Raw genomic sequence first — 24409 nt, 5'->3', positions numbered from 1 at the left:
GAGCCACCGCGTCCGGCTTTTTTAACTTTAAGTTCAGGGGTACAAGTGCAGGTTTGGTACATAGGTAAACTTGTGTCATGGGGGGTTGTTGAACAGATTATTTTATCACCTGGATATTATGCCTAGTACCCATTAGTTATTTTTCCTGATCCTCTCTCTTCTCCCACCCTTCACTCTCTGAAAGGCTAAGTTCCCCTCTGTGTGCTCCCCTGTGGTGTTCCCCTCTGTGTGCCCGTGTGTTCTCACTATTTAGCTACCACTTGTAAGTTAACCACATATATACTTAAAGCAGAAGTAGGTAGTAATGTTTTATAGAATCACTGTCTAAATTAAAACAATTACATATTCAATTTAAATTCATTTTTGATTTAAAAGTATTTTTTGATTTAGGCTAATCAGAGTTTAGGACATGATACTTGAATCAAAACTAAAAATAAAATGATATATGAGAGAAAATATTTAGTTGTGGCTATTGTCTATTGTTTTCTGAAAAAAATATTTTACTTAAGTAGAAGGAACAGCAGAAGAGAGTGATAGTATAAAATTATCCACAGCATATTTGTGTAAAAAGAAAATAAATTGAAAACAAAAATAAGTGTGGACATAAGAGGTCAGGCATTCCATTTCAAAAACAAAGAAATGTCATTTAGTTTAGAAAAGTATAGACTAATAAATGTGAAGAAAAAAATCTGAGGCCATCCACTGGAAATATAACCGGTTAAACAGTAATGTCAAATGAATGCCGTGGTGTCTCAACGTAAATGCACCTCCTGGCAGGTGTCTGCAGGTATTTCCTTTTTTAAATTTGCCTACAGATAGGTTATTAAAGTCATTGCAAATCAGAACATGTCTTTCCCACAGCACAGATTAAACTACACGGGAGCAGAGGCAAACGAAAGGACAAGAACACTTAGAGGGCAGAGAGAGGACTGTCTGTAGATTCCAAGTTAACGCTGAGATATGGTTCTAAATAGTTACACTTGATTTGAAATAAAATTTGATTTATAAAATAAATGATTTGATGACTTACCTCTAAATATGCAGGGCTGACAGGTAATTTGGGTATATAAAAACTGAACGATTTAGTTGATTATATTAGCGCTATTAGTAGCTTACTCATTATTTATTTAGGGGATTATTTATTTTAGGTGCTTAGGGCCAATCCCAGTTTATGCCCGGTGTTCTAACTTAGTCATTAATAGCCTTCTCTTTCATTATCAAGACCTTCCAGTCGTATGGTCTAACATAGGTTTATGTGAATTGTCAAGTATCTATGCAAACGTATATAAATAAGTTTTTGTATGTGTAAGCATGTGTGAAGTACATGTTTAATTGTCAGTCATTTCATTATCGTCTCTGCCTTGACTACGGCAGGAATATTCTAGTTTCCTTGCTCTTTTTTCTTGTCTTTTCAAGTCTTTTAAAGAGTAGTTTCCATCTTAGGGAGAGGGGTTGAAGGTAAGAAAAGAGTAAACAGGTGATAATGCTCTCTCAGCCTCTCTGAGAATTTGTATCTTCTTAGTTTCTCTGTTACTATGGTTGCATAGAAATCTATTCAATAATCTACATTCTGCCTGATTTTCTTTGGCAAATATCATATAAAAGTTTCTTCCTTGGCTACAAACCACATTTCTCCATTTAGCTCTTGTTCTTGTACCTTCTCCTGTTCTTCAATATTCAATAAATTTTTAGCAGTGGTTCACAGATCCCTGACAGCTTTTAAATTGCTTAAAATGCCCGGTGCTAAATATGAATGCCAAATATGAATATGAAGCAATGCTGTTTACACAGTTCCTTTAGAACTCTAATAGTCAGCATCCAGATGGGCTAATAATCAGGTAAGGTGCTTATTGATTTATACAAACTTAAATAAATATGGAGCACTAACTAAATTAAAGAAAGGGACCCTGGGAACTCTTCACTTTCCCATATGCTGTTTAATAATGGTTGAAGACGTAAGCTGAATAGTAAGTTCTCTTGAGTTCTTAGGCAGACTTAAGAAAATATGCTTAGTGTACAGAAAGAAATCACGTTGTAAGATATTACAAACTCGCAATTCATATTCTATATTTTCACACGTTGTAATGTAATTCTAGGTTGTTTAACTACTAGTCTTAACAAAAAGACAAATTCCATAATAAACAAGACTCTAGGTTACCACATTTTCAGAGAAGCCTAGCAAACAGTTTAGCAACAACATTAATAGATATGAGGCGAACTCAGACATTTTTTACCTGGAGTAATGGAAGTATTTCCAAGAAGAATAAAATGATTTGGGTAATTTTATGTGCTACAGACATTACTTGCATGCAAAGGACCTCAAGATGGAAAGGTCAAAAGGATGGTATTCCAGGTTTTGAAAAAACTTCAACAAGCATTATCTAGAAACTGTCTAGATTTAGTTGTGGGTTTCAAAAATCAGAAAAGTGGAAAATACTCATAATATTGCATGAGGCACTATCCATGTAGCATCCTGCAGTGGCGTTTACCTGGGTCTGCCTTTGTTTCCCTTCTGAACTTAGTCCTTAGAACACCACCCCAAATGTGACCTGTGTTATGCTGCTCACTGACACTATAAAAAGAAATCAGGAAACCCAGAGCACTGAAGTGCAGCAAACCTACTGATGGGATGAAGGACATCAGTGCAGGAAATGATGCACAGGGTAAAGTTGATTCTTGTCTTTAGAAGAGACAAAAAAATACCTAAAACTCCCTGTTTTCAGAATTAAAACTGCTTAAAATAGCATTAGAGACTTATTATTGTGTTATTTATTATATAGATTCAGTTTACGGTTAACTTATTTTTGTAGGAAGGAAGGGGAGATCTGACATTCATTACAAAATTCACTCATTTATTTAATTATTACACCAAGTATTTAATGAGTACACACTTTTGTAAAAATAAGACAAAACACTAGATTTTAAGCCTATAAAATGTCTGCCCCATCCTAAAATAATGGTATTATCCAATTTATCTTTATGTCTTCAAAGTCACACTCTAAATACCAAATACATTTTACATGTACTAAGCATGTCAACTCCAAATATGCCCATAAAATTTTTTTTTGAATATGTCAAAATTTGAAAATACAAATATGTATTCTTTAAAAATTCACTTTTTTTATTTCTACTTTAAGTTTTAAGGTACATGTGCACATTGTGCAGGTTAGTTACATACGTATACATGTGCCATGCTGGTGTGCTGCACCCACTAACTTGTCATCTAGCATTAGGTATATCTCCCAATGCTATCCCTCCCCCCTCCCCCCACCCCACCACAGTCCCCAGAGTGTGATATTTCCCTTCCTGTGTCCATGTGATCTCATTGTTCAATTCCCACCTATGAGTGAGAACATGCAGTGTTTGGTTTTTTGTTCTTGAGATAGTTTACTGAGAATGATGATTTCCAATTTCATCCATGTCCCTACAAAGGACATGAAGTACATAAAATAACATTTTAACTTTTGTTTAGGTGAGAATTGCATTAATAATCTCATCATGTAAACTATGTAACATAAACAGTCTAATCATTTACATCTATGTGGATGCTCCTCAGGCAGTCTTAGTCTTGCGTGTGTGTGTGTGTGCGCGCGTGCGTGTGTGTGGTTGTGCATGTCTAAAATATTTTATTGTGGTAAGAACACAACATGTCAGGAAGTCTTAGGAGGATAGTTCATAAACAAAAGAAGAGAAACAATCACAACATTAATAATGTTATATTTATTAAGCATTTTTTCTGTTCTAGACACTAATCTAAGCAATTTACATATCTCATTGCATTTAAACATCAGCTGAGCCTATGATATAAGATGATTATATATTCTTCATGATTATTATGTGCTTCATAATACAAAGTTTAAAAATGCAGCTAGAGAAAGGGTACACAATTTGGCGAAGGTTATAAATCTATAAAATGCCAGAACCATTTTTTTTTTACTCTCTGCCCATGTTCTAAATGTGAGGGCAACACACTTTCTATGTGAATGACTAGGAACAAATATTTTAGGCATTGTGAACTATATGTTCTCTGCCATAACTATGCAGCCCCACCGTTATACCATGAAAGCAGATATAGACAATATTTAGATTAATGTACTTGGTGCTGTTCCAATTAAACTTTATTTATATAAAAATAAAAACAAGCATCCAGTCTGGCCTGAGGGTCACAGTTTGCTAACCCCTCCTCTAAACTACTATGAATATAGATTCCATTCCTATTATATTGAGTACATTTTCTTAAACTAGATTTTTCAGGGACTGCATATTTGTGAACAACCTAGTAATTAATTTACTTAAAAATATGCTATAGTCATTTTAAAAATTTGAATTAAAATCTTTTTATATGATGGCATATTTCAAAATGCTAGAGAAGTAAGATTAATGGGAGGTACCAATCTGTCTCACAAGTCCTAAGCTGTAATACCATATATGCTAACAACAGATTACATTTATGCTCCAAGTCTGTGAAATTTTTATTGCAACTCGTTTAATACTTACTTTACATTTCCTTTAGAATTAAACACTTAAAGAACAATAAAACCTACTTTTATTTCTTTAGCTTTCTGTAAAGAGAATTGAACATTATTTATTACGGATTTTTAAGCACAAAATCAAAACCTCACTGCATAGTAGGGTAGCACAACATCAAGAATCAAGAGCACATGTAATTAATTTGTATTGTTGCTGTTATAATTATCTTCATTGTGTCTGACAAGATCAAACTGAGCTATGAAGAAATAAGTGAGCTACTAAAAACAATTGCATATTTAACACCTCTTTTTGTCATAACAAATCCTATCTGCACACAGTATTTTAAAAATTGCAAATCAGCCAAGAAAAAATTGAATTTGAAGGCAATAAATAAATCAAATTATGTATAAGAAGGCAGTAAAAATATGCCCCAGATGTTTGGCTGCAGAGTGTCTTATAAGTTGGCTTCCAACTTGAAAATGACAAGCTCCCATGCCCTAAAGTGTTTCTACTTTCCATAGCACATTCAGAGAAGACAACAAGGGGTGTCTTGTCAAACTACAAAAAGGACAGAGTCACATCTGATTCCAGTCACATTAATGTTTGAAAAGGCAGCATTGTGGTTTGCTACGGTGGTTATCTTTTTATTGACTTTCTTCTTCTCTAAAACAATCACCATAAGCCTGGTGCATTGACAGATGAAAGTGTACAAGGCAGATTTTGGGCTAGCTTTCATCTAATAGTGACTTGTGTCCCCCACATTTATTGTTTAGAACAATTTGGAGGCTTACTCCTTACTTCAAAGAATGCGTTGGCTATCTTGTCATATGCCTGAAAACTGAGGACGGGAACCCATTGGTAAACAATACTAATGACTAACACACCACCACCTGTCATCACTGCATAATCTACTGTGTGCAAAGTGCTCAGAGCAGTAAATTTTTTAAGTGACTAATGCAGCACAAGCTCTTCTAGCAAATTAACTTGAGAAACATAAGAGTGGCGAGAAGTGTGTCAAGTCATGATGGGAGCTAAGATGTGATAACATAGCAATATATTTTATAGCTCTGGGTGAGGTCAACAAGATGGCTGACTAGAGGTGCCTGGTGCCCGTCTCCTCCGACAAAACAGGATCAAAACAATGAATAACCAACTATATTTCTCATAGAATGACTGAAGAAGTACACTGAACTACAACAAGAGAGTGGCAACATCCCTGTGGAGCGTGGAAACCCAGGATGGAAGCATAGAGAGTTACGATTAGAAAGAAAAAATAAGTTCTGGCGTCCTGTTGCACAGCAGAGTGACCCAGCAGAAAGATACTGTGTGCCTCATCATAGTGAAGAGAAAAGATTGTGAATGTACCCACCACAAAAAAGATACACTTTTGAGGTGATAGGCTAATTATCCTGCTGCGATCGTTACACAATGTATACATGTACTGAAACATCACACTGAAGCTCATAAATATGGACAATTATGATGCATCTTTTTTTTTTTTTTTTTTTTTTTTTGACACAGTCTCGCTCTGTTGCCCAGGCTGGAGTGCGGTGGCGCGATCTCGGCTCACTGCAAGCTCCGCCTCCTGGGTTCACGCCATTCTCCTGCCTCAGCCTCTCGAGTAGCTGGGACTACAGGCGCCCACCACCACGCCCAGCTAATTTTTTGTAATTTTAGTAGAGACGGGGTTTCACCGTGTTAGCCAGGATGGTCTCAACCTCTTGACCTCGTGATCTGCCCGCCTCGGCCTCACAAAGTGCTGGGATTACAGAAGTGAGCCACTGCTCCCGGCCTATGATGGGTCAGTGTTTTAAAAAGCTCTGTGCGCCTGGATGAGTGCCAGCCACCTCCAAATGTCAGGTAAAATTTTATGACTGTTTTATCCTAAGAGATGATTAGAAAACTATTTATAAGAATTTAACATGTGATATTTGAAAGAAAGGAGGCCTTTCCAAAATTGTGGCCTGGACAGGGGACATAGTAAATATTCGTTTTTGCCTGGAATTTGTGGTGAAGAGGATAATGGACATAGGGCTTTGGCCAAAAATCATAAAAATATGACAATAAAGAGCCGTCATATGTGCAGAGATCCCTGGCTTATATCATCATGTATGCCATCTTATGTTATAAAGTAATCTAGAAAAAAATAAAATCTTTTTAAAGTAATGGCCTCCAGGTCACTCAGAGGCCAGTATTAATGGATAGATGATATTTGACTAGTTATATAACTGCTCTGAGCTTTATTTTCTCATTTGATTACCAGAAATATTAAAATACCCTGCACATGTAAGTATGAAGAGGATTATGTGAAAATATAAAATGCTTTGTACTGTATCTGCATAAAATAAACATTTGATAAATTATAGGTATCATCATTAATGCAAAGATAAGCATATACTTTGATACTATGTAGAGTGCTGTGCACTTTTTAACTTAAATTCTATCTAAATGACCAAATTTTCCATGGTCCAGTATAAAAAGTTAGTCTTACAATGACGTTTCATATAACTGCTTAAAAATGTTTTTTCCTCACATACCCATCTGTCTTTTTCTCCACCTCTTTGAGTAAATAGGCAGAGGACAATACTTGCATTTAATGGTTTTATAGTGGTAAGTTAAAATATCACATTTAAATTGCACTAATTTAATTTCATTTTATTTCAAAATTAAAATCAACCAGTGAAACACAATAAATGATAAATGACATAAACAAAAGTAATTTTAAGGTTAAATTTGGGTCTCTTTTTTCACAATGCAATTTTGTGGGTTATATGGGACCTCTTACATTCCTAATTCTACATTATTGCCGGAACACAGCAGGTAGTGAACTTTGATTCTTATTTTTATTTACTTACCCAAAATTCAGCGGGACATGATGCCTCATGCTTATAATCCCAGCACTTTGGGAGGCCAAGATGGGGAGATCACTTGAGGCCAGGAGTTTGAGACCAGCCTGGACAATATAGCAAGATCTTGTGTCTAAAAATATATATATTTTTAAATTATTTGGGCATGGTGGCACCAGCCTGTAATTCTAGCTACTCGGGAGGCTGAAATGTTAGGATCACATGAGCCCAGAAGCTTGAGGCTACAGTGAGCTGCGATCTCACCACTGCACTCCAGCCTGCATCACAGAGTGGGGCCCTGTCTCTTAAAAAATAAAACAAAAAAACAGTGCAGAGAGTTCCAGCCTTTGTGTGCTATCCTGAAAGCCTGGACTTACTGGAGGCTAATTTTGGGCTCAGAAAGCAAAAATACTTTGGAGAGTAAGATAAATTGACATTTACTGATTGTATTCTATGTACCTCTTGCTTGAATGAACTTAAAAAAAAGGAAAGTCAAAAAGTATTATTAATCCTAATAGATATAATCTGTGAATCCTAAGCCTGATGTGGCTTTCTCAATTTCACACAGTAACCAGAAAAATTCAACTCTGTTTCCATGGCTCGTCCTCTTTCTACTCTAAAAAAACTCCCTGTTTTTCTGCCTCCAAATTATTTTTTTTATTCAAACTCTTTTCTCAACAAAGTATTACTTGTTGTAAGATTTTTTTATTGAAATGCAAAGTAAAATACCAGAAAGATTATAAAATACTAGGCAGTATTTGTTCTTTCATGTAAAATTGTGAAATGGTAAATCAGATCTACTTACTCACGTGCTGGGGAACAAAACAACGTTGATCCTGAGTAAGAGAGTTTTGTGTGCATCTTGGTAGACAGAGAGCAGAAATATAAGCTGTTAACTGTGGAAGGCATACTTTATGCATTCTCTTCAAAGAGCTGTACTTTCGATTTTGATAACACTGAATACCTATGACCTTGTGCTTATGAGGTCCTACCACTCGGGCACCATTCATTTGCTGATCAACAGACATGAGCCTGGGAAATTGAAATTGTGTCTTAAACTACTATAATTTACTCCAGCCCTTTCTGTGACTCCTTATTGCATTCCAATGTATACCTGGATTTTGACTTTACCTGAGCTGGACTTGAGGATAGATATTGTGTTCCCTAGTTTTAATTCTTAATAAGGATACTCACCCTTTAACGTTTTTCCAGCCTCTGGTTATTTCTGGATGTTATCCAGCTTCCGTTGTTGGTACCCTAAATGGACAAATTGAAGCAATAAATAAAAACTTCTGACAATGATCCTTCTCATGATTATACCATGCCTTCACAGCACTAAAATCTCCATTAGTATTTAAGAGATACCAAGACACATAAAGACATAATCTCATGGAGGCTTCTCCTTTTCTATCTCTCCTCTCTAGATGCAATATTTCTTTTTCCTTTAAAAAATTATATGAAAAGCAGCTGGGCGTGGTGGCTCACGCCTATAATCCCAGCACTTTGGGAGGCCGAGGTGGGTGGATCAGGAGGTCAGGAGATCAAGACCATCCTGGCTAACATGGTGTAACCCCGTCTCTACTAAAAATACAAAACTTAGCCGAGCGTGGTGGCAGGTGCCTGTAGTCCCAGCTACTCAGGAGGCTGAGGCAGGAGAATGGTGTGAACCCAGGAGGTGGAGCTTGTAGTGAGCCGAGATCCTGCCACTGCACTCCATCCTGGGGACAGAGCGAGACTCCGTCTCAAAAAAAAAAAAAATTATATGAAAAGCAAGTGTAATATATTTAGAAAATAGCAGTCAAGCTCTCAGTTAAAGTCACAGATCTGTAAAAACTAGATCTATAATGAATACATAAATAGACTATTGACAAATTTCTGATTTTCCTTGGAGCCCTTCTTTTCTACTTGATATCTAGTGATGGTTGTGTATCACCTACTCATGTAACTTCTTTTAGAGAATGATGGAAAGTTTTATAAAATACTGTAATCCAATATTCATGAAAAGTATTTTATTTATAGGACACATGATTCCAACACGATGGCTGTCAGAATGCTGGCTATCTTTAGATCATTGACTTAAACATTGTTTCGTAGTTTCATTTGCCTCTGATCCAAACTTAAACATTTCAAATAATGGCTTTGAAACAACTTTTTCTCCTGTTTTCCCTTGTTCATTGTGTGTGTGTGTATATATATATATATATATATATATATATATATATATATACACACACACACACAATGTGTATATATATATACACAATGTATATATATATATACACAATGTATATATATATACAATGTGTGTATATATATATACAATGTATATATATACACACACATACACATATATACATACACATACTTATACATATATATATATATACTTATACATATATATATATTCCCACATCAAGGACAAAATCTAAAAAAAATGGATAATTGAACTTGACTTCTTTTTTTATAAACTGTAGACAAAGTTCACAGACAGATACACCTCAACACCTATAAAAATCATTTCAAATTGTTTCCCATTGTTACCAGGAACCCTTATTCAGCTAAACATATAAATAGGGTTGTCAATGTCCATGAAATTTAAAACATTAAGATGAAAGTACTTTAAATTTCAAAAGCATATTCTGAGTTGAATTTCAATCTTCAGGGAAGTGCCATTGTAGATTTTCTACTAAACAAAGTTCACTCACTGAGACATCTATTAAAATGGTGGGGAATTTTTTAAATAATTTAGAATTTTTCAAATGACATTTCTTATTAGCATTCTTCTGAGCGAATATTACCACACAACACATTTCAATATATAAAGATAAACAGTTTTTAAAGATTTGCAATAATTTTGCCAATAGCAAATGCCATCAAGATTAATTAAATGATTGCATTGTAGAAGACCTCCTAGTAGGTGCTTTGGTCTACAGAAAGATCTATCATATCCATTCTGTTGAATGAAAGAAAATATTTGCAAACTATTCATTGGACAAAGGACCAATATCCAAAACATATAAGGAACTTAAACAACTCAACACTAAAACAAAACTTTAAAATGATATTAAGAACTGAGCAAAGGACATAAATAGCAATTTTTCAAAAGAAGAAATGCAAGTGACCAACAAGTATATAAAAAAATGCTCAACATCTCTAGTCATTAGGGAAATGCATAGCAAACCATGATGAGATAATATCTTATTCTAGTTAGAGTAGCTGTTATTAAAAAGACAAAAAAATAACAGATGGTGGCAAGGATGAAGAAAAAAAGGACTTCTTATACACTGTTGGTAATGTAAATTAGCACAATCGTTTTATGAAAAACAGCATGAAGATTTCTTTAAAAATCTAAAAATAGAACTCCTACACAATCCAGCAATCCCACTCCTGGGTATTTATCCAAAGGGGAAAAAAATGGTCTATCAAAAGGATACTTGCACCGGCATATTTAACACAACACTATTCATAATATCTAAGATACAGAATCAACCAAGGTTTCAGTGGACAAATGGATAAAGGAAATGTGGTATATTTATATTATTTGGCCAAAAAAATGAAATCACATGATTTGTGACAACGTAGATTAACCTATAGGTCATTATATTAAGTCAAATAAGGCAGACACAGAAGGACACATATAACATATCCTCATTCATATGTGGGAGCTAAAAAAGTTGATCTCATGAAGGGAGACAGTAGAATGATGCATACCAGAAGCTGGAAAGGTTGTGTGGGTGGGAGGAGGGGATAAAGAGAGGTTGGTCAATGAGTACAAATATACATTTAGATACAAGGCATAAGTTCTAATGTTAGGTAGCAGAGTAGGGTGACTATAATTACCAATGATATATTGTATATTTCAAAGTAGCTGGAAGAGAAAACTTGAAATGTTCCTAACACATAGAAATGATAAATACTTAAGGTGATGGATACACCAAATTCCTGACTTGATCATTACACACTCTCCATATGTAAGAATGTATCAAATATAGCTCATAAATATGTAAATATTATGTATCAACAAAAAGGTCTTCCATATCAAAGTTTCTTCTAAAGTGTGATTGTATCATGTTGCAAATAGTTTAAGGTATTAGACTCAGATCTAGATTCAAGGTCTCAGTCTGCAACTTGCTACCTTTGATGATGTCTTGTGAAAATCTTTAAACCTTTTTGATTGTGATAATCTCATTGGCAAATATTGTAGGGATTCCTTCATGTGCACTCCTTTTTGTCCACCCCCTCTGGCATCTCTTCATCAATATAAACAATCTTTTTTTTTGGAAAGAGAAGTGAGAAACTCAGCATGTGAGACCTATTCCCAATTCTCTCATTTCTCTTGAGAGCTGGATTGAAAGCACAGAACATATACTGTGATCTGCTTTTTGGCCCTGCAGGGAATGGTACTTGCCCCTGCCATTATGAGTAAGTCTGACTAATTCTGGGGTTGAATTTTATGAAATCTAACTGCACAAATCTCAGCCCTAACCTTCCATATCAGATTTCCGGGTAGTAGAGTTGTTTATCACTCTTCATCTGCTGACACCCTATACTCAATCCGTATAGAATTTGGAAAGGCAAGAGGGTGCTATTTATTATCACAACAACTCAAACATCCCAAAGTGGTGATCCATACATAGTAGTACTTTTCAACCTTCTTGTAATACTTAAGTATTTAGTAAGATAAATAAAGTATATTGAAAACACATGTATAATATAAAGCAACAGAAGTTAACAAAAGTTATCAGAATCATAGTAAATGTTCATTCTTACAGTATAGAATATCATCCTGCATAGAATTAGAGATGCCTCTTAATATTCTATTTTCTGTTCTCTAAGAAGTGAGCTATGTCTCCCTCATCCTGTAATGTAAGAAGACCTGCAAGTGTTTCAATCAATAGAGGATAGTGGAGGTAATGTCATGGCAGTTCCAGGTCACACTCTTAAGAGTTCTGGCAGCATACAACTTTGTCTTAGGGACCATCCTGCAGGCAGCCCGTAAGACATATGGATATCCTAGGAGATGATGTGGTGGGGCCATGAGACTACATGGGAATGAGGCAAGCTGACTCCAGTCTTCAAGCCATCTCCAACACCAGTGCCAGCCATACGTATGAGCAAACTGCCTTGGATCCTCCAGCCCAGCTCAGCAGCCAACAGAAGTCTAGCTCCTGACTCCAGGTGACAATCAGGATTACACAATAAAATACCATCTGGATTCTGTATCCACAAAATCATGTAATGCAATAATTACTTTTAAATCCACCAAGTTTTTAGGATGTCATTGATGATCAAAACATCTCTACCACAAATAGGCAAAATAAAAAGAAAATATGTGAGTAATCAATAAGTGACTGAAACATAGAACAAAAACCTTTAACAATTCAAAGAAATGTGCCACCTCCAGAAAGTAAAATGACTTGGTAAGGGTTTAAGAACAAATTAGAATAATATGATGGTATACTTTGAAAAATTAGAAAATTTGTAAATTAGAGACTATGAAGCAATAAAGGAGCAAAACTAGCATAAGGTAGTTATCATGTAAAGAAACATCTTATCGTTTATTCTTTCAGTTTTTTTTCCTATGTAAGCAATCTTCAACCCTAGGGTTTCAATCACATTCTGTTTGTTACATTTATATTTACTTTCATGTTATGATATAACTAAATATTTTATCAGTGCTAATATTATTTTAAAAAGAGACACATTATTCATTTACATTTCTCTTTTCTTTCTTTCTTTCTTTCCCTTTCTTTTTTTCTCTCTTTCTTTCTTTTCCTTCCTTCCTTCCTTCCTTCCTCCCTCCCTCACTCCCTCCCTTCCTTTCTTTCCTTTTTTTTTTTTGATGGAGTCTCACTCTGTTGCCCAGGCTACAACCTCTGCTTCCCGGGTTCCAGGAATTCTCCTGCCTCAGCCTACTGAGTAGCTGAGATTACAGGCACCCACCACCACAACCGGCTAATTTATGTATTTTTAGTACAGATGGGGTTTCACCATGTTGGTCAGGCTGTTCTTGAACTCCTGACCTCAAGCAATCCTCCTGCCTTGGCCTCCCAAAATGCTGGGATTACAGGCATGAGCCACCAGGCCCGGCCTTCATGTGCTTTCTAATGGCTGTTTAGTTTTTCAGTAGGTAGATATATGAGAAAGTTATGTTTTTGCGATTTAATGTTAATCTAAATAAGCAACGGCAATGCATCATTGATTTTTTCCTAACCTTTGTCTAGACATTGGGACAGTATTAGTGGAAATAATATTCCATATAATTTATAATCTGTATAACACTGTAATAAGCAATTTAAATCCACTAATTTCATTTAATCTTCACCAACAAAAAAATACTCTAACATTATTTCTCTATTTTACATACACAAGGAAATGAGGACGAAAGAGATTATTCATGCAGCAGAGATTTTACAAGCATGGAAGCATAATCATATTTGACCTAACATTAGGGAAGATTAAAACTTGCTTAAGAGATCATAAGAGAAATAATTTGAATAGGTTATATGGGCTTCATGAAAGTGGGAAATAAGTTAGGTTGCAGCCTAACTTTTAAGTTCTTTAAATATCAGGTTTAGTGAGCAATATAACAACACTTAATGCTGAAGCTCTCTTCTCAAAGATCTAATTTTGATACCCTTCTGGAAGAACAATCTCCAGGGGTTTACCTGGAGAGATAATCTGTGTCCTTCTCAAAATGGTAGGTGAGGGAAGCATGGCCAGTCCTTCCTTTGGTGCTTTCTCAGTGGTCTGAGTACGCCAATGAGAAACTTGTATTGGGAAGATTTATAGAATAGAAATCAACAGCACAAAGTAATGAAGAATTCCACAGCCTGTAAGATCATTTGCTGACATTCAGTTCTATTAGGCCTAAAATCATGGCCCAGTATTATGTGTGCCATGAGAGAAATTAGGAAAGCCTAGAATAGCCTCATCGCAAGTTCCCCTTCCAGCTCTGCCCCTACATAGGAGGTCCTTTAGCCAAATGATCCTCCTTATCATGGAGACCAGGCACAGGCTCATTCTTATCTCTGGGTAGAGGGCTTGAGGTCCCTGCCAGCCCATGGAATTATTCAAGCAAGTTAATCACTGCCTCTGTTGGGAACCAGGGCTTTCTCTTCCTCCTGATGGAACAAAGCCTGCCTCCCGAATGCTATGGCTGTTCACTTTGTTCCTGAGTATAACTCATGTGTGGCTCTTTGTGGTATGCAGTTGCTTCATCCCCGGGGCTTTTGAGTATATGTGACTAATAAACTGCTGTCATCTCAGCTGTCTAGCGTCAGGTTTCCTGTGTTCCCCATAACCCTAGGGCATGAATCCTCTCCTCACAAATAGGGTAAATAGGAAGAGATCAAGGCATACATAGGCATTTGGCAACAAGAGGAGACATCTGTATCTGAAAGGTAACAGTTAACTTATGCCTACTTGTGTGCTGCATACATAGCAAAATAAAACATATTCTTCAGTTTCCAGGAGGGAGTTTGTAATGTGTTTTGGGAGATGTCAAATATAATTAGATGAATCAATAAGCCAACAAATTATCACTGCATTTTCCAAATTTGTGGTCATATATTGAGAATCTATAGCAACTGTAACATCAAATTTTAGTTATTTTACAAAAATAGTTATATACAAATTATAGACATCTTTGGAAATAATGGAGGCTGTTTTATAGATACTAATTCTCTCCCGGAAAAAAGGCTGAATTAAGGAGATAGTTAACAAGCTCAGTATAAAAAAGAGACTGCCTTAAAAAGTATCTGCATTAGCAAGAAAAGCAGAAAATGCAAATAATGATCATTTGGCCACCTACTACATGTCATTATTGGCTCCACAATGTGCCTTATTTAAGGAAATAAAATATTTTAGAGAAAATACACCTGCATTAAAATCTAATATAAAAAATTGGGCCGTTATTTTTTTTAAAAAGTGAAGAAATCTTCCTATAGGCCTGAAAGAAAACATTGCCAATGAGCAAACAGAAGCTTCAATATCAAGAAATACGACTTGCAGCTTAAACTTGTCTCCACGATTTCTGTGGATTATACCAAGAAGTAAAGATTTTGCAGAGTAGTTTAGGACACAGTTCATATGGTTTGGCTGTGTCCCCACCCAAATCTCCCATTGGATTGTAATCCCCATAATCCCTACAAGTCAAGGGCAGGACCAGATGGAGGTAATTGTATCATAGGAATGGTTTTCCCCATGCTGTTCTTGTGATAATGAGTGTGTCACAAGAGATCTGATGGTTTTTAAAGGAGCTTTTCCCCTTTAATAAGGTCAGTTACCTGAGGACTCTTTTCCTTTATAAATTACCCAGTATCGGGTATGTATTGATTAGCAGTGTGAGAATGAACTAATACAGTAAATTGGTGCCAGTAGCATGAGGTACTGCTATAAGGATAGCCAAAAATGTGGAAGCAACTTTGGAACTGGATAACAGGAAGAGGTTGGAACAGTTTGGAGGGCTTAGAAGAAGACAGGAAAATGTAAGAAAGTGTGGAACTTCCTAGAGACTTGTGGTGCTCAGAAGACACAAAGATGTGGGAAAGTTTGGAACCTCCTAGAGACTTATTGAATGGCTTTGACCAAAATGCTGATAGTAATATCAGTCCAGGCTGAGGTGGTCTTAGATGGAGATGAGGAACTTGTTGGGAACTGGAGCAAAGGTGACTCTTGTTATGCTTTAGCAAAGAGACTGGTGGCATTTTGCCACTACCCTAGAGGTCTGTGGAACTTTGAACTTGAGAGAGATGATTTAGGGTATCTGGCAGAATAAATTTCTAAGCTGCAAAGCATTCAAGAGGAAGCAAAGCATAAAAATTTGGAAAATTTGCAGTCTGACAATGCAATAGAAAAGAAAAACCCATTTTCTGAGAAGAAATCAAAGCCAAAGGCAGAAATTAGCATAAGTAATGAGGAGCCAAATGTTAATCACCAAGACAATGGAGAAAATGTCTCCAGGGCATGTTCAGTGGGTTGGCAGTGCCTCCCATCATGGGCCTAGAGGCCTAGGAGGAAAAAATGGTTTCCTGGCCAAGGACGAGGCCCCTCCTGCTGTGTGCAGCCTAGGGACTTGGTGCCCTGTGTCTCAGCTGCTCCAACCATGGCTAAAAGGAGCCAAATTACAGCTCAGGCCATGGCTTCAGAGAGTGAAAGCTCTAAGCCTTGATGACTTACACGTGGCATAGAGCCTGCAGGTGCACAAAAGTAAAGAATTGAGGTTTGGGAACCTCCACTTAGACTTCAAAGGATGTGTGGGAATATCTGGAAGTCCAGGTAGAATCTTGCTGCAGGGGCAAAGCCCTCATGGAGAACCACTGCTAGATCAGTGTGGAAGGGAAATGTGGGGTTGGACCCCCAATCCAAGTCCCCGATGGGGCACAGCCTAGTGGAGCTGTGAGAAGAGGGTCAGTGTCCTCCAGACTCCGCGGAATGGTAGACCCAATGACAGCTTGCACCTTGTGCCTGGAAAAGCTGCAGGCACTCAATGCCAGCCCTTGAAAGCAGCCAGGAGGGGGTTTGTACTCTGCAAAGCCACAAGGCAAAGTTGTCCAAGGCCATGGGAGCCCACTTCTTGTATCAGCATGACCTGGATGTGAGGCATCCAGTCAAAGGAGACCATTTTGGAAATTTAATGTTTAATTACTACCCTATTGGATTTCAGATTTGCGTGGGGCCTCTAGCTTCTTTGTTTTGACCAATTTCTCTGATTTGGAACAGGTATATTTACCCAGTGCCTGTACCCCCATTGTATCTAGGAAGTAACCAACTTGCTTTTGATTTTACAGGCTTGTAAGTGGAAGAGACTTGCCTTGTTTCAGGTGAGACTTTGGACTTGGACTTTTGGGTTAATGCTGGCATGAGTTAAGACTTTGGGTAACTGTTGGAAGGACATGATTGTGTTTTAAAATGTGAGGACATGAGGTTTGTGAGGGTTCAGGGTCTAAATGATATAGTTTGGCTCTGTGTCACCACCTAAATCTCACCTTGAATTTTAATCCCCATAATTCCCACCTGTTAAGGACAGAACAGGTGGAAATAACTGAACCATGAGGGTGGCGTACCCCATGCTATTCTCATAATAATGAGTGTGTCTCATGAGATCAATGTTTATTTAAGTGTCTGGCCATTCCCCTGCTTACATTCATTCTCTCTCCTGCCACCCTATCAAAAGGAAACTTCTGCCATGATTATAAGTTTCCTGAGGCCTCCTCTTCCATGCAGAACTGTGAGTCAAATAAACCTCTTTTCTTTATAAATTACTAATTCTTGGGTATTTATTCATAACAGTGTGAGGGTGGACAAATACAGCAGTTCTCTTTGACTGGGCTTTGGTTTCATAGTTTATGCCACTTGATCAACTATGGAAAAACTAAAGAAACATAGTGAGTGCATAAGTTTATGTAACCACTCAAACTTTCTATATAAATGCTAAAACTCTTAAAATAATGTGGTTATATAGACACTATTTTGGTTATATCAACAATATTTTATTTTATGGATACATTTGTATATGTTTTCAATAAATTCAGAGTTTTTAAATTATAAGCAAATGTGAGTAGATTTTTGGAATAAATGTATATATTACAGCACCCCACATATCAATCACTACCACTCTCTTTTAGAAATAAAAAAGATAGTAGTTGTTCTTCTCTAGTGCGAATGTAAAATACTGCATTTCAGTCCTAGAGTAAATGTGATATAAATCCCAATCCCAACTTCTTGTTTTAAATATTTTAAATACCTCTAAAACAAAAACAAACAAACAAATACTTTGATGATGGTCATTCAGCCAGTGAAGTATGTTTTTATGTAAAACATTGTACATATTAAGAAAAAAAACTAATAATTTTGAATAATTACATTTAAATGTAGGCTGAAAAGTTTAGAGATGTTTTCAAAATTTGCACAGTAAATAGTAAAAAACCTCAGCGGTTTTTCCTTGTAAACTGAATCTTGTGTAGCATAAACAGAGTTTATGTTAAGGGCCACTACAGTGTAAACTCTCTCAGGTTCCCAATGGAAATTATAAATAACCCTTAAAAACATACACATATTGTTTTTATTCATGAATTTTCCTCTGCCTTGGACACTGCCCATAGCATCTCTTATTGTAAATATGCTAATATTTTTAGTAGAAGCATCTTTACCATTACTCAAAAAAGTTTACTAATTCAGTTAAAGAAATACAGAAACTAACTTCTCCGAAATCCCATGGTTTTTACTGCTTTCTATATTGTTATAAACTTATAGTTCACATTCCTTCTTCTTATATTTGAGTGCATAGTGTCAAATATATCTTTTGTAACATACGTTTCCACCATTCATTCATTAATTTATTAACCAAACATTTTTTCATTTTCAAGATCTTTGCTTGTTGTGTAGTATACAGTGTTGAACAATGAAGATATTATCCATCCTATTGTGAAGCATTCTTTCTCGCAAGGGTAACCGGTATAAAAAAAAAGGAAAATAGCAGACAGATATGTATTTAATTACAACTGTAAAAACATCTCTCTCTCTCTCCCCCCATATCTATCAAAAATCGATAAACAGAATAACACAATAGAGATTCATAAATTAACAAATTAAAAGCATAACAGATTAAATGTGTTCAATAAAATTCCAAAGTAATTATCTTGATTTTTTATTGCTGACATAACAAATTATCACAAACTTAAAACAAATTTATTATCTCACAATTCGAATGTCAGTGGCTGAGTAGGCTCTGTTGGGTTATCTGTTGTGTATAGTAGAAAACCAACATCAACATGTTTCTTCTGGAGGCTCTAGGGGAGAATCTGTTTACTTGCTCATCCAGGTTTTTGGCATAATTGGATTTCATACAGGATTGAGTTTATTATTTTCTTCTTGGCTGTCAGTTGGTAGTCATTGGGAACCTCATGGGGCCTACTTAATTCCTTGGCTTATTGTTAATTTCTTTCATCTTCAAAGCCATGGTCAAGTCCTTCTCATGCTTTGATTCTCTCTGACCTCCCTTTCTGCCCTCCCTTGCTGTTCCCGTCTTCTGCCACATTTCTCAGACTCACCCCTTAGCCCTCTTCTGCTGCTTTGAATGGCTCATGTGCCTTAAATAAGCCCATGCATATAATTCAGGGTATTATCCCTATATTAAGCTCAGCTGTTTAATAATCTTAATTTTTATCTGCAAATCACTTTGCAAGTCTACCTACATTGGTCTTTTATTGAAGAACCTAAGGAAGAGGACATCTTCAAGATTCTGATAAACACATCAGAGTCTTAGTTTTATCAAAACCTGTATCTATGAATCCATTTGCACGGCTATCAAGGAATACTTGAGACTGGGTAATTTATAATGAAAAGAGGTTAAATTGGCTCACAGATCTGCAGGCTACACAAGAAACACAGTGCCAGCAGCTACCTCCGGTGAGGCCTCAGAAAGCTTACAGCCATGCAGAAGGCAAAGGAGGATTTGGCTTTTAATAAGGCAAGAAAGGGAGCAAGAGAAAAAGAGAGGTGGAGGTGCCGGGTTCCATGGTCCTTTAAACAACCAGTTCTCATCTGAACTAACAGCAAGAACTCACTCATTACCACAGGGAAGGCGCCAAGCCATTCAAGAAGAATCTGCCCCATGACCCAAACACCTTCCATTAGGCCCCACATCCAACTTTGAGCATCATATTTCATATGAGACTTGGATGGGATAAACATCCAAACTATATTACTGTGATTGTGAGTTGACTTGAAGAGAACATTATATTACATATCTAAATAATAAATTCAAAAAGATAAAACAAGCAAGTGAATTTCTTTCTGAATGTCACATTTTGTTTGCACATGTTTGATATTTCCTAAAGTGATTATATTTTGAGATAATGCAAAAGCAGTGTGAACTCTTGATTACAGTTCAATGAAGACCAGGACCTCTTTAGGTGTTTTGAATATTTTAATCATCATAATAATTATACTATTACTCTTCTGATGTGGGAACTAGGTCAGATATTATGAAAGCTACCAGCTCTCCTTCAATTCTAAGTATCATATTATAGTGTGTTAATTAGCTCAAAGCTTTCCAATAAAAAATAGAAGTTATAAATGAACATATGTAATGTCCCTGCTTTCTCCTACCTCTACTCCCTACATTTTCAGCAATCTTCTGTCATACAGGTGAATTTCTCTTCCCTGGTTTCCATGGTGCATGCTCAAACTCAGCAATGCAGTTAATTTCCAAGAGTATAGTTTCCACAGTAACCAGATGGCAAACAAAACCAAAAGTCTTCTTCAACATCAGCATGTTCAATTTCTTTAGGAGTTGAACATCTTAGTTTTATAATTTTGGCAAAAGTTTTTAAGGGAAAGGTAGAGATTAAGATAGAACCTCTACCAATATAGTTTACATTGTTTAAAAAATAAATGCTAAATTTGAAATTTAACTGTTTAACATCTTCAAATCACCATGAGACTAATAAATAAAAATATTCATGTTAATTATGTTAAGGATCACTCTCTCTTTTCATTTGATATAATAAAATTTTGAAAATCATGAAGAAAAAATATATTTTCCAGATACCATTTATAAAGTGAGAATAGAAATATAGTAAATAATTGTAATTTAATGATAAAATTTTGTATTCATTTAAATAAATTTCAGACAAATACTTTGAAATGGATGAAACATATTTTACATGTAACATATACTATAAAATCAGCTTTTTATTGAGACTGCTTATATCTCTAATGTGTTCTAAAAGGTTAAAAAAACTACTAGTGCATTAAAAGCCACCATCATATTAGAATTAATACTTTTTAAATTTTACAAATAATCTGTGTTTACACAACAAGGCTAGTAGTAGATTCTTATATTCTTACTCTAATTTATCTTGTCTCAGTGTAAATAATAGAATATTATTTTTCATATCTTAAAATGGTGAATTTTTAAAATAAATAAAAATTCATGGGTTAAATTTTGTTCAATAAAAATAATGGCAATATTTTTCCACCCCTTGAATATGGATTTGTCATGTGACTTTCTTTGGCCAATGAGACATTTAAAAATATGACAAAACAGAGTAGTGGAACATTATTTTCACTTGGATATGCCATCTTTTGCTGAACTTAGGTTCCCCTGACTATGTCTACCAGTCTGAGCTAGCGTGTTGGAAGATGAATGACCATGTGGAAGAGAATGCAGGCATCCAGAAGATGGAAAGTTCCAATAGTCCCAGCAGTTTACTGCAAATGGATGGTTGAACTCCAGTCCAGTTCAGCTAAGCCTCTTCAGACCAAACAGAACTGTCAGTTAGGTCCAGCCCAAATTTCTGACCCACAGAACCATATGAATCGCTGTTGTTTTAAGATATTAAACTCTGTGGGTGTGTGGTGTTTTATCACACTGCAGTAGCTAACCAAAACATATTTTTTTTACATTTAAAAATATAAATTATGTTAAATATCTAATGTGATACTATGTATTCCTTTGAAAAAATCATCTCTGTCTTTTCATACTCTGGGAAGGGAAAGACGTGTTTGCTCCGAATTTAGGAAATAACATAAAAAGACTTTCAATGTGTATTTTTTCATTTTCACATTGCTGTAAAGGAATACCAGAGACTGGGTAATTTATAAACAAAAGAGGTTTAATTGGCTTCTAATTCTTCAGGCTGTACAGGAAGCATAGAAGCTTCTGCTTCTGGGGAGGTCTAAGGAAACTTACATATCATGGCAGAAGGTGACAGGGGAAGCTGGCATGTCTTGCATGGCCCAGCAGCAGGAAGAGAGCAAAGGGGGGAGGGGCTACAAACTTTTAAACAACCAGATCTCACAATAACTCACTCACTCACTATCAGGAGAACAGCACTGAGGGGATGGTGCTAAGCCATTCATGAACGACCACCTCTACGATCCAGTCACTTCCCACTAGGCCCCACCTCCAACATTGGGGATTACAATTAAACATGAGATTTGTTGTAGTCACAGAATCGTATCACAATGTAAGAGCACATTGTGTGTGTGTGTGTGTGTGTGTGTGTTTTTCTTTCTTTCGATTTGAGTTTCCCTCAGGCTGGAGTGCAGTGGCGTGATGTCGGCTCACTGCAACCTCCACCTTCCAGGTTCAAGCCATTTTCCTGCCTCAGCCTCTTGAGCAGCTGGGATTACAGGCACCTGCCACGGTGCCCAGCTAATTTTTTTGTATGTTTAGTAGAGAAGGGTTTCACCATGTTAAGCAGGCTGGTCTCAAACTCTGGGACTTAGGTGATCCTCCAGCCTCGGCCTCCCAAAGTGCTGGGATTGCAGGCATGAGTCATAGCACCTGGCAAACAGCACATTTTAAAAACATGGTTCCCCCATTCTTATTTTAAATAAATAAACTTTTTAGGTCATCTTGATTTAAGAAATTAACAACTACTCATAAGTTTCATGCAGACTTGCCACGGTTGTATAAATTATTAGAAACTGACAAATACAGTATTATACCAGAGTAAAAAAAATTTTTGTAAGTACTATTGCTCATTATGTAGAACTAAAACATTTCTGTGAGGCTGAGTTTTATGTGGGGATAAAAACTGTAATTTTAACAATAATATGAATTAATATTGATCAATGAATAGACTTTTAATTATGAGTTGATCTCATTTAGCAGTTTTAACAAAAGGCACTATTTAAGGCTCCAAATTATTTATATATCAAGTCTAATCAGAAGAATGCCTCACAGAATCAAAAGGACATCAATGTTTTAATGAAGATTTGTGTTTATTCTTCTTATAGTGATTATATGCTAGTATTCTCACATGATATTGAATATTAACTTTATTACTGCATAATAATGACATACTTTAATGTATGTATGTTGTTAACTATTCTCTTTGTATTGAAGAGAAATTATTCAGTGATACTTGTTAAAACATAGCAAGAAAGACTTTATTCAGGGTCCCCCCAATAGGCAGCCAAACGTTAGACTTCTGAATGTTCTGCTAGGCTCATTTGTGCATTTCCTTGTAAAATCAAGCTTTAGCAAAGAATCCTGCTAAATCTTGTGTAGCAAGACACCCCCATCTTCAATACCTGATCATCTTCCATATCTGATCAGGATTCTCATCCACCACCATCCCCCAGATAATGTCTGAACACCCTAGCCTATCTTCAGCAAAAATCTTATTAGGTCAGTTTAGCCTGAATATCCCTTACCCATAATGTCTCATCTTAGTAATTTTTTATCCATTGACCTTCGCGACCCCTGCCACCCTGCTTCTTGGCTATAAATTCCCACTTGCTCAAGCTGTGTTCTGAGTTAAGTCCAGTCTCTCTCCCCTACTTCCAGACCCTACTGCCGTTGCCCCTATGCCTATTCCAATGCTCCTGAATCAGGTCTTCCTTACTGTGCTTTAACAAGTGTCACTGAGTATTTTTTTAACATTTCGTATTCCACATATTTTTTTTTTCATTTCCAACTAACGGTATTTAATAAGCTTTGATATATTTTACCATGCAGAGATCTCTATGGAACATCCACATCAAATTCATCAGCAATATCTGTCAGTTCTGTCTTCAAACTCTGTCTAGTATATAAGGCCATGTTTTGTCAATTTCATAGTTTTTGACAGGATGGTACATAAAATCAGAAACATGATGAACGGACAAAGAAAGCCAGTTAATAGAAAGTGTGCAAACAAAAATCAGAGAGAAAGATATAAAACAATTTTCACATGTAAGAGATGTGAAAATGATGGAAAAAGAATAATATTTTGAACAACTAAGTCTTGTATCAAATTGTCATTCAATGAAATAAATTATTATCTAGGGAAACCAATACAAGAATATAGAAGTAAAGAGACAACAGAGGATAAAACAGAAAATCATATAATTTCTAGCCCCCAAAAATAAAAACAAAAGATGAAGAAACATAAAAGAGGTGAATCAACTTGAAAGAATAAAGGAAGAAAATGATTTGAAAGAAAAAGCAGAAAATTAATAATCTGAGTTGCTACTCCAAAAAACTAGAAAAATAAGAGAAATACTAATCAAATAAAAGGGATAATAAGAAAAATATGTTGAATGACTGGGAACCTATGTCATGAGACTCGCATAAACTTAATTTAAAACTTAATGAG

Source organism: Homo sapiens, chromosome 4 (genome assembly GCF_000001405.40).
Source record: "Homo sapiens chromosome 4, GRCh38.p14 Primary Assembly".
NCBI lineage: Eukaryota > Metazoa > Chordata > Mammalia > Primates > Hominidae > Homo > Homo sapiens.
Note: the sequence above shows the minus strand (reverse complement) of the source record.